At 34.8% G+C, this 16,866-nt stretch overlaps 1 protein-coding gene across 28 annotated transcripts in view; it reads right to left on the bottom strand.

The window, feature by feature from the left end:
- Positions 1–403: 403 nt before the first annotated feature.
- Positions 404–16,866, bottom strand: part of ZC3H13 (zinc finger CCCH-type containing 13) — a 98,282-nt gene continuing 81,819 nt past the window's right edge. For 16 of the 28 annotated variants that reach the window (NM_001382214.1, NM_001382207.1, XM_005266306.4 and 13 more), the window contains 7 exons: positions 16,301–16,404; positions 14,687–15,910; positions 13,443–13,967; positions 11,219–11,371; positions 9,781–9,981; positions 5,422–5,585; positions 404–3,236 (listed from right to left, as the gene is read on the bottom strand). In NM_001382214.1, coding sequence (NP_001369143.1) covers positions 3,066–3,236; positions 5,422–5,585; positions 9,781–9,981; positions 11,219–11,371; positions 13,443–13,967; positions 14,687–15,910; positions 16,301–16,404 — 2,542 coding nt within the window. In that variant the 3' untranslated portion in view covers positions 404–3,065. Of the gene's footprint in view, positions 3,237–5,421; positions 5,586–8,114; positions 9,982–11,218; positions 11,372–13,442; positions 13,968–14,686; positions 15,911–16,300; positions 16,405–16,866 lie in introns of those variants that run through there. The other 12 variants (NR_167893.1, XM_047430207.1, NM_001330565.2 and 9 more) reach the window with 2 other exon arrangements.

Here is a 16,866-nt window from a genome sequence, read left to right on the forward strand (position 1 = left end):
CTTGGGAGGCTGAGGTGGGAGGATCCCTTGAGCCCTAGAGTTGGAGGCTGCAGTGAGCTATGATCCTGCCACTGCACTCCAGCCTGGGGGTCAGAGAAAGACCCTGCCTCTGAAAAAAAAAAGGGCTGGGCATGGTGGCTCATGCCTGTAATCCCAGCACTTTGGGAGGCCAAGGCGGGAGGATGGCTTTGAAGCCAGGAGTTTGAGACCAGCCCAGGCAAGACCCCATCTCTATAAAAATAATTTAAAAAAGAAAAAAAAATATGAAAGAAACAGCTCAATAAAGTTGAGAAAGTATGTTTACAGATGCATGTAGAAAGTTATTTAATAAAAATATTTCACCATTTAAACTTGGATTCCCCAGAGTGTCATTCAAAATACTGAAATGGAAAGATCAACAAAATTAATGAATAAAGAAAGTTTATTGGAGATTATTAAAGAAAAATGATAAAATAAGGCAAGTCCTAGATCAGATTTAAATACAATATTTAGAAAGATGGCTATATAATTTTAGCTAGGAAAATCAGTAAAAGGGAATATCCTTAAAAGTGGGAGGGGTTCATATAACCTTTTAAAATAGCAAGTTGAGGTGTAAAAGCATCACCAACAATAGTATGTACCTTAATCTTTACACAATTGGACAGTGAGGAGCAAAGTGGGAGATTCTACCAATGCCACTTACAGAACAGATTTTCAAGTTAATAAGTCATAAAATCCTAATGTAGTCATAGGCTAGGATGGTGACGACAATCTGCAATTACTGGTCAGAGTGAAGCGAAGTGACAGGTCAGATTTTTCAGCATATCAAGTTACTACTTAGGTATGCTTACAAAACTTTGTTAAATAAAGTTGGGTATTGTTAGTATACCCTTTACTAAATGGTGAGGATAGCTGCCAAAATAATCAAAAGGCTAATTATGTGTTAACTCTCATTTATTTTGGATTGCAGACATACTCTTGCCCTTTATCTATCTACACAATTCCTTATTACCAGCAGCTGGAATCCAGTTGTGCAATTATGGCAACTGGACAGACCTGAGCCGTCAGTTATGAGATAGATGACCTTTTAATTGTACTAGCAAACAATTTATAGACTGGAAGATTGTTTTTCGGGAATACCAGTTTAACTGAGACTTTAATTATGGTCCAAGAGCTTTTATGAGAAATTCAATCAAAAATTTTGCTTTAGAAAAATTTTATAGGTATATGTTACTAATACTGAGAATGGTTGAATTAAAAGAAATTGAGACTGAACAGTACATTTCCACTGGAAACATAAAGCTCTGAATGCTGTGACTGAGTGAACAAAGGAATAGTTCTAAATTTTCTTTTGCAACATACATAACAAAAAGATTTCAAACTGAAAGACAACAGGTTTAACTGAATGACAGATTTAACTACATAGTTTTCATTCTATAAATAAATAACTTGTGAAATATCCCTGAAGTCAGTGGACAAATGGGGAAACCATTATTTTTGTCATATTCTACAATTCTGAGAACTAGGATTAGAAATTCTAGGACTTTAAATCTTTGTGCTACAGAGAACAATATTATCCACTAAAATCAGGAAGTGGCTTCCTGAAGGGTATTCATTCTCTGAGGTCATACATTTTTTTTTTCTTTATTCAAAACACTTAGTAAAGGAAAAGGACACAAGGAAATTCTGATTAAAGTCTTCTCCTGCTCTGTTTGCAATTATACATGCTTTCAAAGTCATTTGAAAGTAAGACCATTTCCTTTGGCAGGTATCTTGTATAAAGTAACTTTACAACATATGTTTCTTGAACAGAAACTTTACACCACTGTCATTATGTTACCTATAGAGACAAAACTACTAACACAAGTAATATGGGCTTACAATTATAACACAAACCTGTGAGAGGGCATGATAAAATTAAATTTTGATTGCCTTCTTTTATTATTATCACTACTACTGTCTGCTCACAAATTCTGTGGCCAGAGTCCATTTCAAATCCTTCTAAGAGTCCACTTCATGAGTTAAACATATACATATAGAACAAAGCAGGTATACTGTAATTTTTAAAAGTAAATCTGTTTTACATAGTACAGCTGGAGGCAGTTTAATATAATCAAAAGTTATAGCTCTAAAAAATATGATAGTAGAATATTAAACCTCAGGTTACGTTAGGTTTGTTAACTCTTGATTTGCTTTGAGTAATTTTTTTCTTCAAAAGCCACATTCCAAGAAGATGCCTTAAGTATCAATGAGCTATATTTGAAGTACATCAACTCTGTTTAAAGCTGTCCAACAATAAGGACACAAGCAGTAAAATATCTGAAGCATGAAACATGTAATGTTGATGACTAATGTTCTAGATCATCAGGAATAAGATTAACGAAGAGCAAAGTAAATCTAAAACAAGGAAAGGGAAGATACATTTATTAAAAATAAAAATAGTACACAATCTCTGATAACAAAAAAAGCATTTAGGGTCAAAAGACATCCAACATACATTGTAACAATGCACACATATTAATTAAAAAAAAGACCCATGAAATAATTTTTAAAAAACTTTCAAAAGGAAAAAACTATTTTGGCTTCCTTCTGCTGAAATTCGCCTATAAACATACCACGCCAGCTAGACCAGCATTCCCTTTCACGTGGTCTGTACAACATAGTACTGCACAATGTGAGCAATTACTTTGATGAACACATTGTTTTTGAATAAAATTGTTGGTTCTGTATGGATGATCCAGACATAAATCCATGGTTCCATTTCACAAAAATATTCATAGGCTGGAAGAGCAGTGACAACCATTTTCCAAAATCTTCAGTTTTAACAAAAGGCGCAGAATAAACTACTAAATCTAGATGTTTTCACATTATTTTGCATGAGTGTCAAATACTATGTAAAAATTAACGTAAAATCTTAAGTTGGCCAAAACTAGTGTCTCTAAAGATCAAAATTCTTCACTCTTTTAGCATGGCTGATAAATCTTTTCTGCCTTTGTCACTAATGCTTGTCAAACCAAAGAACTTTGCAAAAGAATATGCACTGCTGAAGGAAGACAGTACCAAAAATACCATATTGAACTTCGGTCTTAAGACACACACAGTTCCTGTTGGATACTGGACTGTGAAAGTTTATTATCTTCAGTCTTTTCATGTCCTGGAGCATGGCAAGTAGTCTTCCGCTTAAATAACCGAAGACTCAATCGAAGTAATTCATTGTCTACCATTGGAGCACTCGTGTAAGCTTGTTTTATGGTGCCCTATTTGAAGAAAACAAAAACAAACTTTAAAAAAGATGTACATTATTAGTAGGAAAGATGGGCAGGTTAACCTCTACCCAAAATATCAAAGTTATAAGAGTATTTCATTTTGGATATTAAATTAGCTTTATTGGATTTCAAAGCAAAATTAGAAAATGTGTTTGGGCTCAATGAATCTTTGAAAAGAAACTTTTAGAGGGCACCTAGTTTAACCTCTTGCTTAAAGTAGGAATCCTCTCAACAATTTCTGACAGGTAATCAACCGGTTTTTACTTTATCATTTCCAATGACAAAACAAACAAAAAACACACTGCACGTTCTGTTGTTGAATGGCACTATTTCTTCCATGTGATGGAATAAAAGCTCTTCTATGGTGCTACACTGTAATTCAATCTTACCTTTACTTGACAATCCTTCAGTTCTATGAAGGTAAGTGCCATGAGTTCCTTCCTCACATAGTTTTTCCTTCTGTAAGCCAAACATTCTATTCTATACTCCTTACCAATCTTTCAATGTCCCATAAAAAGTGAGCTCGAAAACTGAATAAATCCTTTAGAAGACAGCTAATCATGCAGTATGCTGAAGAACTACTACCTCCCTTATACTAAAATATGTATCTATATTATTGTGACTTAAAGTTACATTAGCATTTTTTGGAAAGTTATTGTCATAGAGAAGGGACCAGGGAATGTTACAAAATACAAAACAAAGAAAAGTGCATACTGAAATCAGGGAGCAAAGGAGAATGACTGTAGTGATTCTGTCAAAAGTAATCTTGAACCAGACTTTTAAGTGAGGAAAACTTGATTATACAGTCAAGACATGTTTTAAAAATCTCCTGTTCCTCGTATTTGTTTCCATTTTAATCTTTGGAGATAAACTCATTCTTCTGTTTTTTAAAAATTGAATCCCCCCTACCCACTACCCTAAATCTGAGTATTTTTCTTTAATGAAGTAATCTTTTCTTTAGCAATGTTATATAGTCAAAGATAATTCTGTTTTCCTAACTGCCCCAAGTAAAAAGCTAGTGAAGTTAACCATTTTATCATTACTCTAAACTTTCTAAGCAAAGAATCACACCAACTCTCTTTTGTCATCCAGGTTGAGTAGTCCTCAACTGAAATGCTTTGGACCAGAAATGTTTCAGATTTGGAAATTTTTTTGGATTCTGGAATATTTGCATTACATTTACTTACCCAGTTGAGCATCCCTATCTAAGAATCCAAAATCTGAAATTCTCCAAAGAGCATTTCCTTTGAGGGTCATGTCGATGCTCAAAAGCTTCGGATTAGGAATACTCAGTCTGTACTACCTATACCCATCCACTCACCACCCCAAATAAAAATCCCAGTTTTTTTTTTTTTTTTTTTTTTTTTGAGATGGAGTCTTGCTTTGTCGCCCAGGCTGGAGTGCAGTGGCACGATCTCTGCTCACTGCAAGCTCCGCCTCCTGGTTTACGCCATTCTCCTGCCTCAGCCTCCCAAATAGCTGGGACTACAGATGCCCGCCACCATGCCCGGCTAATTTTTTGTATTTTTAGTAGAGACAGGGTTTCATTGTATTAGCCAGGATGGTCTCGATCTCCTGACCTCGTGATTCACCTGCCTTGGCCTCCCAAAGTGCTGGGATTACAGGCATGAGCCACCACGCCCGGCCAAAAATCCCAGTTTCTTAACTTTAAAGAGTCTAAAATGTTTTCATCTTGGGTTTACCAGATTTCATTAACAGATCTCTTCCAAATCTAATTTCTATTCCTCTTACTTCTCAATCTCTTTATTCCTCTCAAATGCTTATATAGAGTCGCTTTATTTCCCTTTCTTCCAACTTTGTATATTCTCATAAATACTACTCTCATAAATATCCTCATCACTCTAAGAAATTTTTTTCCTTGAGTTTCAATTTAAATAAATTTTTGTAATACGTTTGCTTGTTGAAAGCTTTTCACAAAAAACGTTTAACAGAAATGGAATATTTTAAACTTTATTAAAACAAAATTCATTAATACTGTTGAAGTAAAATAAAGCATATTATACATTTTAATGGCATTCTTCTTTTTACATGTATAAAAGATTAGGAAACCAAACTCATAAAAACATAAGATTGCAATCTCAATTTAAAACAACCAAATGAAAAATAGGCCATTCACACTATTCACTTTGTATTTTTTCCAAGGAAATAACAGTACCTTCTCATTTTTAACAAGCTGCTTTCGAATTGCAGAATCCCGTCTGAAGCACAACGCCTTACAACATGGGCCAAGATTACTAAGAAGACTTGCTCTTTCTTCTTTTCGTAGTAATGCAGCCATATTGAGAGCCCCCAATTCATGTTCAAAGAGATTGTCTGCATCTTTCAAAAAAAAGTAAACATGCATTAAGTTTTACTAAAATAGAAAAGGGTTACCAACTACTTAACTGAATATTCTACAAATTTTATACTTTATTAAAGTTAGCAACATTGGTGAAAATTATTTCACATTAAAGGCAATATATTCTCTGTGAAGCACCTTCAACACGTAGTTATGTTGGTAGTCTCAAACAAGAATAAATATTCTGATAGCCACTTTAAATTTACTTAAAATATAAGAAAAGCAGACTGTATGTGGATCTCAAGGTAGAGCCCAGGGAATTTTTTTTTTAATTTTAAACAATTTATTTATTTATTTATTTTTTGAGATAAAGTATCTCTCTGTTGCCCAGGCTGGAGTGCAATGGCACGACCTCGGCTCACTGAAACCTCCACCTCCTGGATTCAAGCGATTCTCCTGCCTCAGCTTCCCGAGTAGCTGGGATTACAGGCGTACACCACCACACCTGGCTAATTTTTTTTTGGTATTTTTAGTAGAGATGGGGTTTCACCATGTTGGCCAGGCTAGTCTTGAACTCCTGACCTCAAGTGATCTGCCTGCCTCGGCCTCCCAAAGTGCTGGGATTACAGCCATGAGTCACCGCCCCCAGCCCCAGGGAATTTATTTAAAGAACGTTTTTAAAGGATGTTTTAAAGAAACGTTCAAGTTAAGAATCATTGAACTCTAATTCAGTATACTGCTTACCATCAACTACTATTTAGAGTTTTAGATTTCAAGACTTTATTATAGCAAGATTCAAATGTTATAACAATATTCAAGTCTGTGACCTCTAAAAAAATTAGTTAAGAAAGTGATTGTTAGATAACCTGCAAACTTTGTCCTAGATTTGGTCACCATAAAAACCTGGGACAATGTATTAAATTTAAATCACTTAGTTTTAAGTCACAACATGCAAGGTAGGGGAGAAAACACTGAACATACAAAAAAACCCCAGAAGAATTAAGGAAAGATAGAATAAAATATAAAGAGGTTAGGTTAAAAATAGACACAAAGGAAGTCAAAATAACAGAACAGGACCAGTCAGTAATCCAAATAAATAAGAGTCGGTCAAGAGTACGAAAGACAGCAGGTACTGCCTCTATTCATACAACACGCTCAAGCAGGTTACTTTTACAACCCACAAAGAAAAGCAGTAAACGCCTGGGTAAAAATAAAAGACACATTTTACTGAGAACAAAATGAAGCTGCAATACATAGCCGATTTCAATTTTCTGGGCTGCAAAGTGTAAGTATTGAGATTAGATAGTTAACAAGAAACCAGTCTTAAATAACACACCTAGTCAATAGATGTGTAACATAAGAAAGGTGTAAATATATAGAAAAGCCCGAAACTAGTTCTCAAACACTGGAGTCTATCAGGATCAGCTGAGGAGCTTTTTAAAAAACATTCCCTGGGCTCTATCACCAGATTTGCAGAATGAGAATCACCATAGTTGGACTAGAATACCTTAAGGGAAAAAAGGGGCAGTTTTTTCAGATGATTCAGATATACCAATGTTTGTACCAACCAATGATATAGTCATATATGCACATGATTAAAAACAAAAACAAAAACATTAACTACCATTCCACTACAGATATAATATAAAAGAAATGCATTGAGCCTACACCCTTCCTTGAAAATTGTTCATTACCACACATTTCTGTTTATTGGGATCCTTATTTTTGGCTTTCAAAATAGTAGATTACAAAACACATACCTGCAAACCTCCTCAGGGAGTATAAAACATGACTAAATTTCCAGTCTCTTTAAAGTTTTGAACTGAGCAGCACCAAATTACTCAAGAAACAGACTAAATGCATTCTTAAAAGTTTAGCTCAAAAGAACTTAACCAACAGAGAGTAGAATGATGGTTAGTAGAGGCTGGGAAGGGTAGTGGGGGTGGGGAGATGTGGGGGTGGGGAGATGTGGGGGTGGGGAGTTGGGGGGATGGTTAATGGGTACAAAAAAAAAAAGAACGAATAAGACTTAGTATTTGATAATACAACAGGGTGACTATAACACCCTGTTGTAGAAACTGTTATTGTCAATAACAATTTAATTATACATTTAAAAATAACTAAAACAGTAATTGGATTGTAATACAGAGGATAAATGCTTGAGGGGATGAATACTCTATTTTCCATACATGATTATTAACCCACTGCATGACTGTATCAAAGTATCTCATGTACCCCACAAATATATACACCCACTAAGTACCCATGAAAATTAAAAATTAAAAATTAAAAAAAATGAACTTAACCTTAGCGCAATTAGAAAACAGACAAAAGCAATTTCAATTTCAGTACACTTATAAATTTTCTGTTTTAAGCTTTAGTTGTTTCTTTTAAAAATTATATATGAAATATGATTATGTTTTCTTTCATGTTGGTACACTTGAATAGACAAAATGGAAAAGAAAAATCAGTATCAATTATTTCATAAATATTTACTGAAAACCTACTATGTATGTCAGGCACTTTTCTGGGCAATAGCAGAAAATATAGATAGATAATTAGACCTTGGATATGGCAGTAAACAAGACAAAGTCTTTATTCAAGATAATACATCAGTTCTCTAATACAACCACCATAGCAGCAAAAATAGAAGAAGTCTGATTGTTAAGCCACATCACCCCACCCTTTACAGTGCATATTTTCACTGTTTAGGTTAAGTCATCAATAAGTAAGGGCCGAACTGTATTTCATGGGTAGCAAAATCAAACCAGATTTTAACTTGAAATGCTACTAGCAAAAGGTCACAGAAACAAATATCTTTAGAGGTGGGTAAGATTTTAGGGGTTTTATTCCATCACTTTACAAATAAAATTGAGGCTCACAGGAGTTATTTGCTTAAGGTCACAGAACCAACCAAACAAGGCAGATACAGTAGGGCAAGAACTAAGTCTTGGGTCATTTTTCGGTTAATACACGTTAACAATTATATGTATTTTGTACATGTATACTCTAGGTTTATTGGGCTATATTAAAATAAAAAAATTTACTGCTTATGCTAATAGAGTAAAGGAAGGGCATGAATTCATAAAACTCATAAAACAATATTTTTTTATTTTGTATTAGTGAAAAATTTAATACTAACTAAACTTTTATGTCCAGGGACATGACGTAAAATTGTTAATTAATGTTGTTCCTTTCACCTTTTACCTCCTTTTCCTTCTTTTTACCATCTACTCGTCCCTCCCCATTAATAAAGTATTAGTAAGTTGCAAAATAAACTAAGGTAGGTACTAGATGAGACAGAGACAGTGAAAACCAAAACCAAACAACCCCTACCACCAGAATCCATAAGCTAGATAATCTGGAATAACTGAAAATTGCTGCAGTGAGGTCAAAAATCAGCGTGATAGGATATTTTCAAAGTAGCAGTTAATATTTATTGGGTATTACTATATGCCAGGAACTGTTCTAAGTGTTTTGCCTGTAATAACTCATTTGCTCCTAATTACCATAGGAAGTTGGTGGTATGATTATTCCTGACTTACAGATGATGACACTAACACACAGATTAAGTAATAGCCAGTAAGTGGTGTGCCTACTGAAATCCAGATCATCCGGCCTTACAGACCAAGCTCTTAATCACTTTGTTAAAGACTCAACCTACACACCTGCATTTGGGTAGATGTCTAGGGGAAAGGGCTGCCAAAATACCCAATTTCTTTAGACATGAAAAATATGTAGTCTGTTTTTCCTGGCTCTGCTTCATTTAGCCAAGGGCAAACCACTGAGCACTTTGATATTAGAACTTATTGGTTAATTTGTTTTTTTTTTTTTGAGACAGGGTCTTGCTCTGTCACCTAGGTTGGAGTGTGGTGGCTCAATCATGGCTCACTGCAGCCTCAATTTCCTGGGCTCCAGCAATCCTGCTGCCTCAACCTCCCTGAGTAGCTGTGACTACAGACATGCAACACCACGCCTGGCCTGTTAATAAGTAATTTTCATACAAAAAGGTCATTGTACTCTTTTCCCAACTTTTCTGTGGGATAACTCTTCTTCTCAAAATAAATTTTAAAGAGAAACTTTGACCATGAGGGTTAAATAATGATTATAAAATGATTTCTCAAAAAATAGTTTCTACACAGTGTTAAGTGCTACATAAGAACAGATCAGAATCCCCTTCAGATGGCATCTTAAATGGTTAACAGACATTATATAGTTAAAGTAAAATGAAACTACCTTTGGGTTTTTCTAAAAGTCTCTGACATGTTTCTTTGACTTTGGCAAAGAGTTCAGAACCTGCCAACTTTTTAGAAATCCCAACTCTTAGCATAACAGCTCCAGGTGTGAATTTTAAGAGTGCAGCCCCAGGCTCTCGTGGTTCTTTTGGATGCTTTGGCATAAGACCAGACCAATCCACATCTATCACATCTAAGGGATCTGTAAAAAGTTAAAAAGTAAGATTTGTTTTACACCAAGAAATAGCAGTCTTGTTATCTACATAGACATTTACATAAATCAAGGAGAAAACAGAAAAAATGAAAAGTACTTTAAACCAAAAATGTCCTATTCTTAAAATAAAAGCCTTCCCATATAATACTCAGAATCTAAGGACTCTGACAAATAAAAAACCTTCCCACCAAAAGAAAACAGGTAACCCAACCCACCCATACAAATAACTCATTTTAACTCCATGGGAGATCCCCAATGAAAGAACTCTATTGATTTCACTCAGATTGGGTCTGATCTTTTGAAACTTGGTACCAGAATCCTTTTAAGGGTTAAATCTAGGAGTACATGTGTTTGCAGTGTGTGCACACATACATTTTAATTTTTAAAAACAACTATTTCATTATGAAATCCCTTTAAGAGTCAGAGAGTGACAATTATTAACACTGAGAGCAAATAATCCATCCACTGCGAAGGAACAGTTGAAGAAATAATGTTCTACTTAGAAATACCTGATACCAGAAAATAACAAAGATAACAATCATACATACCTTCTACATCAGTAGAAAAAATTGCAAAATATAAGAGCAAATTAAAATAAAAATTTCATATTTTATATAATCAAAGAAAAGATCCTCACTGTGATTTAAAAAAGTTGTTAGTAACAATCAGACACTAATTGGAATGATTCAAGAGGAATATTAAGGGGTGTTGCTTCATGGTATAATCACTGGAATGAGTTCCAGCAACACACAAAGTACTGTAAGTCAAAATAATTACCAAATTTAGAAAATTGATAGAGGTATATAGTGTTCAAATATAATTTCAACTACTGTAAATTTTTGACAGGTTGTTTAAAAAGTTGGCTTGTGTCACCACAGTTGTGAAGCTTTGTACCATATAACTACCATGTAGAAAGAACATTGCTAGACAATCAGTATTTGTTTAGATTCCAAGTCATATAATATGATTCTTAAATTCTGGAAAATAAACTTTAGAATTTTGCTATTTTAAATGAGGCCCTTTCTAATTCATAGACAATGCCTACTTAAAAAGGAGTAGGCATATAGGCTATAATTTTCATTTTATTGGCCTTTCAACCTTAAGTAAAATGTAAAAGGAAAAATTCTAAGTGTCTTAGGTCAATTTTTACAGAGTAGAAGGTAATAATACTTTAATATCATATAACAGATAATTTTCATGTTTAACCACCTCTGCAAATAGTTACCTGGCATCTTCTCCTCATCCTGTTGGTCCTCCCTCTTTTCTGCATCACCTGCCAGAATTTCATCTAGTTCGTCATCACTGATTGGCTCGTATCCTTCTCCAGCACCAGAGCCTAATGAATGTGCATCATCTAACTTGGACTCGTCATCTCCTGCTAAATAGACAAATTAATTTCAGATCAAAGACAACATTAAAGGGAGAGGATGACTAAGTCAAACCAAAAGGTAGAGGGTACACACATTATAACAATGTGAAAAACATCTTTTCATCAGAAAACTGTATCTCTTAATTATTCAAATACTTGATAATATCAAAAGAAAACAAAAATAAAATTTAATTAGTTAAATTAAACTTTAATAGCAAGAATACAATCTGGACAGCAATTATGAGAACAGCTTATAAGATCACAATAAAAATATGACAAATAAAAGCTACTACTAACATACTAATGTTGACTGTGTATTATTTTTGATAATTTAAAACTTTAAAACTCAGACAAATCTAACTTCAAAAGATTTTGAAGTTATATTTTCAAATTTTCACAATTTATCTAAACAAAGTAATTTAAAAACTTGCAAACATTTAAAAAATTTACTCGAAGCTTAAATCTTAGTTCATATTATTTAGCTCATTATATAAACTTTACAACAGTGAGGTAAAAATACAAGAAGTGTCTAATTCTCTCTCAACATCTCAATTCCTCCTCCCTATCTCAATGATCTTCTTGCATTGATGAACACAATTTTTAGAAAAATGCTTTAATACAATTAAAAATAACTTTGTTAGTTCCACTAGTGTATGTTCTATTTTTTTATTTTACCAACTTTTTTCAACCACCTATGCTAAACTTTGTCTCTTGGTGAGTTAGTTGTGAACTTAATCCTAAAATTACAGAATACACTTAACGTTTACAATCACTAGCTAACCATACATTTCACTGAATCTACAATACTAAGTTTCAAAATGTAACCATATGCTTTATGGGTATGAATTTGCAGCAAATAAAATATAAGAAGTTATGAGATGTTTCTAGTCATTCTAGTGATTTTCCATGTTATTAAATTCTATAATAATCTCCCCATATCCTCACTAAGTCACTTCTAATGTAACCAATTTTAGTAACTTTGTCATATAAACATACATCTAAACATAAATGCACATAATAGGATTTTCAACTTTTCAAGTTGATCCAACTCATTTTCCTACTTTGAGTAAAAACTTTACATCACATAGCAAGTGATTCACCTATACATTTCTATTCTATATTATCTGTGATCATAACCAGCAAATTATATATTTTAGAGATGAGGGATACTGACTCCAATCACAAGAGAGCTATTATAATGATTAATTCAATTATATTCAATTATATCCCAGGGTTGTACCTCCATCAGAACCATGCTTTATGATTTGATGCTATTTATACTCAAAATTGAGATGAAAATGTAATGTGAAGAGATGAATTTGAAACAGTAAGTGCCTCGAGCAGAGAAGGCTTCATCGAGAAAATAATGTATAAATTGGGACTTGAATTTTGAGTAAGAAAGATGAGATAAAAGAAAAAGGTCTATCAGGAAATGGTATGAGTGGGTACAAAGAAGGGCAGAGAATGGAAAGGCATGAGTCAGCTTGTCTAGTAAATGGGGGCTGAAGGGTAAAGAACAGAAGCATGGAGAGTGAGGTTTCACATAGCTGAGGCTGGCTCTGAGTTGATGCGGACTTAGCATTCCTATTCTAGGACTAGGGAGTACCAGTGGGATTCTAGTCAATCCTACATTAAATACAGTTTTAGGTAGTGTTATTGTTTCATATATTTGTTCTCAACTGCCCTAGAAAATAGGGATTCACTAATAATTATTTGAATCCCTCTCTGAACTAAGAAGTCATTTCAATTTTTGTAATCTTATTTTTTTAACATCTAAGAAAAGGATGTGATGGTTATTCTTCAACATCTATACACACTGCATCTAAACAATCTTTTATTTCATTTAGGTTTATGTGAACCAAATCTGCCTTAATGGTACTGCTAAGGGGACCACATTAAAAAAATATATATATCTCTATCTTACAGGCCTTTTCCTTCTGAAATCTACTTCCTCTATAGAAGAATGGAGAATGGAGTCAATTTGCCCATTAGTGGGTGCCCTTTCAAAAGAAAATAGTTGTTTCCCACGAAATCTGAAAAGAAATAAAGCAGTATCACAGACAACAGAGGTAGCACTCACCTTCCAGACTCTCAGTTCTCTCGGATTTATTTGTTTCTTCAAATCCCTGCACAGATCCCAGATCTTTATCCATTCTCTCTTTATCCAAGGCTAGAGAGTCTCGGGAAGTGCTTTCTAGATCCCTTTCATGTTCACCTTCCAGTTTTGCTTCACAGCGTTTCACAGACTCTATTTGAGAACTCTCAAAAGTTCTGTCTCTGTCTCTGTCCCTGTCCCTTTCAACAGAATCAGAAATTAGTCTCTCTCTTTCCCTATCCAAGTCTCTCCTTTTGTCTCGTTCTCTCTCTCGTTCTCGTTCTCGCAATCTATCTCGATCCCTGTTGCGTGGCCAATCTTTATCAGCATCTCGGTCCCATTCTCTCTGCCTCGTATCTCTCCTCTCTCTCTCGCGCTCTCTGTCGTGTTCATATCGATCTCGTTCTTGAAGCCTGTCTCTGCTATCAAATGACCCAGATCTTGAATGGACCTGTCGATCTGACTCTGGAGAACTTCTTCTTGAACTATGGCTTCTTGAATCCTGGCGATCTAAAATAAATATACCATATATAAAGAGTTATTAGCACATGATAAAATAGAAACAAAATGCTTCATTTCAAGGTCCTTTAAAACATAATTTACCTTTTTCCATATTCTATGTAACTTTCTATGTTCCATATTGTCTCTATATGTTCTATATATTTCTATATTCTACATATACATTTCTCTCTATAAATATCCAAATATATAAATCATTTTAAGAAAAATTCCTCTCTCAAAGTTCTAATAAATAAAAAAAAAAGTTTCCTTGTCTATTTCCACTATAACCATAAAATATCTTCCAAGAAGTACATAAAATGATTAGGCATTAATAGAACTAATCACTCCATTATTTGATCTCCTCCTACTCCCCTATCTTATTTTCTGTGGTCAAAAGAGGCAGCCTTGACTGCATGAAGAATAGCAGGAAGGTTAAAATCATAGGCATCAATAAGGGACTTGAACACATAAACCCTTCCACCAAGACATACTACTAAAATCCTGATATTAAACTGATTAACACTACTGTATGTATTTCTATTATAATGTTGGTATTAATGTGATAACAGGTAACATTTTGATAGGGCAGCTAAACTTTTCTTTAAAAAGTTGCATAAAATTTAAGGCAGCATGTAAAGTAACCAATTTAGCATTACTTTAGAATTAAAATGTGTATAAAATATACTAACCTAGGAAACAGTGACTAGATCACAATTCAATTTTATTACCTGAAGAAGTACTTCGACTGGGTTCTCCACGCTTTAACTGATCAATCCTAGATTTTCTCTCTCCTGTGATTTCCAGGCTTTTTGTTTTTTCTCTATCTCTTGAGCCACTGTGCAGTACTCTCTTTCGACCACTTTGGTCATCTCCACTTCGATGGGCTGAATCATTGGATGGGGAGCGAAGACGACCAGACGTATGACTACGGTTACTCCGATTGCTCCCGAGGCTGCTGCTCCTCTTTTGATCCATAGGCTTGCGATGCTGTGCATCTTCTATAGTCACGTGAGGCGTCTCTACTTTTTCTACTCGTGTTCTGTGGCATTTTCTGTGTGAGTCTTCATTGGCAAAAGTATTATTGGTGGTATTGGTGGGGGTGGCAGAGGTGGAAATAGTGATGGCAGATGTGCTGAAAGAGGTGGCGGCAGCAGCAGTAGTGGCAGCAAGAGTTGCAGGCACAGTTGTAGCAGTGGCAGTAGCCACAGGCGGTGGAGGAGGAAGAAGAGAAGATAGAGGAGAAGGGGTACTACCAGGAGTCGTGGCGGTGGCAGTATGCTCTGCTTCTGTCACCTCTGTACGGTCAGGGACATCCTCATCAGACCAGTCACTGAATGCTGTATCTTCTTTTTTCTGGGAGTCCTCTAGAATACCATTCTTACCATTGCACATTTCAACCAATTCCTCTTTAGTTGTTATAGGGGGAGTCCGTGGGCCTCTTTTCTTCTTACTTTGCTGGGCTGCTTCTTCATCAGAAATATCAGAATCACCTTTGGATTTTTTACGTTTTTTTTCAATGCTTTTCTTTTTCTGTCCTTTTTTTGGTGAAAATACTTGACCATCTTCAGATGTTGTCTCTATGTTACCCCTCTCTATTCCAACATCATCCTCTTTCTTTTTCTTAATTGGTTTCTTTTGAATTTTTGCTTTCTTCTTGTTTTCATCATGAGCTCGATCAGATGTCTCTCGATCTTCAGACTGGTGGTGTCCTATAATGTCCTGTGCACGCATTCTTGAGCTTTCCAGGATTTCTGTCTGTTCTCTCTGTTTATCTACAGAAGAAACTTTCTCCTTGAGTTCCTGTTCTTCGTAGCGCCTTGAACTCTCTTTCCTTTCTGGTTTACGATCCTCCTCTTTCCATCTACCCTGTCTGTCTTCTGTGAGGTGCGAGGGACTAAGAGAACGAGATTCTTGAGGTCGTACAACTTGGCTCAAGAGTCTGTGTTTTTCATCTATATAAAAGATAAAAGCAATCACACTCTCACCAGGTTAGTAACCACTGCATGGTACATATAGATTATAATAATTTCTCCTCACACCTGTAATCCCAGGACTTTGGGAGGCCGAGGCAGGTGGATCATGAGATCAAGAGATCAAGATCATTTAAAAACTTTTAAAATGACAATAATTTTAGTAAAAATAAAAATATGGCTTTACTATAAATAGTAGAAAATGACAGTACTCTAACACATACTTTAGTCACAAAAGGAGATATTTAGAGGCAGCAAAGCAAGACAACTTTTTAAAAATCTTAATTCATCAGTTCCTACTAGTATGAAAGGATGGTTTCATGGTTACAAATGAATATGAATATAGAGAGACAGAAAACAGAGTCTGCTTACTTTTATCATCTCCACTGTTGTAGGCATCACTGTCCGGAGAATGTTCACGCCGGCGCTTCGGGGACTGTCTAGGGCTGGGACTCCCTTCATTTCTATAGCGCTTCCTAAATTGGACAAGCAAACACAATTTATAAAATTCTAGGGGGCAAAAAAAGAGATTTTTTTGTTTTTACTAGTATCTCTTTACTATAACTGGAACATATAATTGTAGGAAAGCAATATTGCCAGAGTGTATCATACAAAGGATATTCAGTGTCTTTAATACAAATTCTTTACTTCATTTGCTAAGAATTGTGAACTTAAAATACACAACATTTCTTCTTCTTCTTCATTATACATGTAGAATAACTCAAGTGAAAATTGCCAGATTTAAATACTGTAAGGTGGTAACATGCAGCACAGAAACCAATATATTAATGTACCCTCTGATATAAACATTCAGCAATTTTGCATTCTTATGATATAAAAATGCCTTATGCTGCAGAGCTGAATGAGAAAACCTAATATTGGCTTTGAAGTAAAAAAGCTATGAGTTCAACTTATAACTACATTAGTTATTACGCAGC

Source organism: Homo sapiens, chromosome 13 (assembly GCF_000001405.40).
Source record: "Homo sapiens chromosome 13, GRCh38.p14 Primary Assembly".
In the NCBI taxonomy this organism is placed as follows: domain Eukaryota; kingdom Metazoa; phylum Chordata; class Mammalia; order Primates; family Hominidae; genus Homo; species Homo sapiens.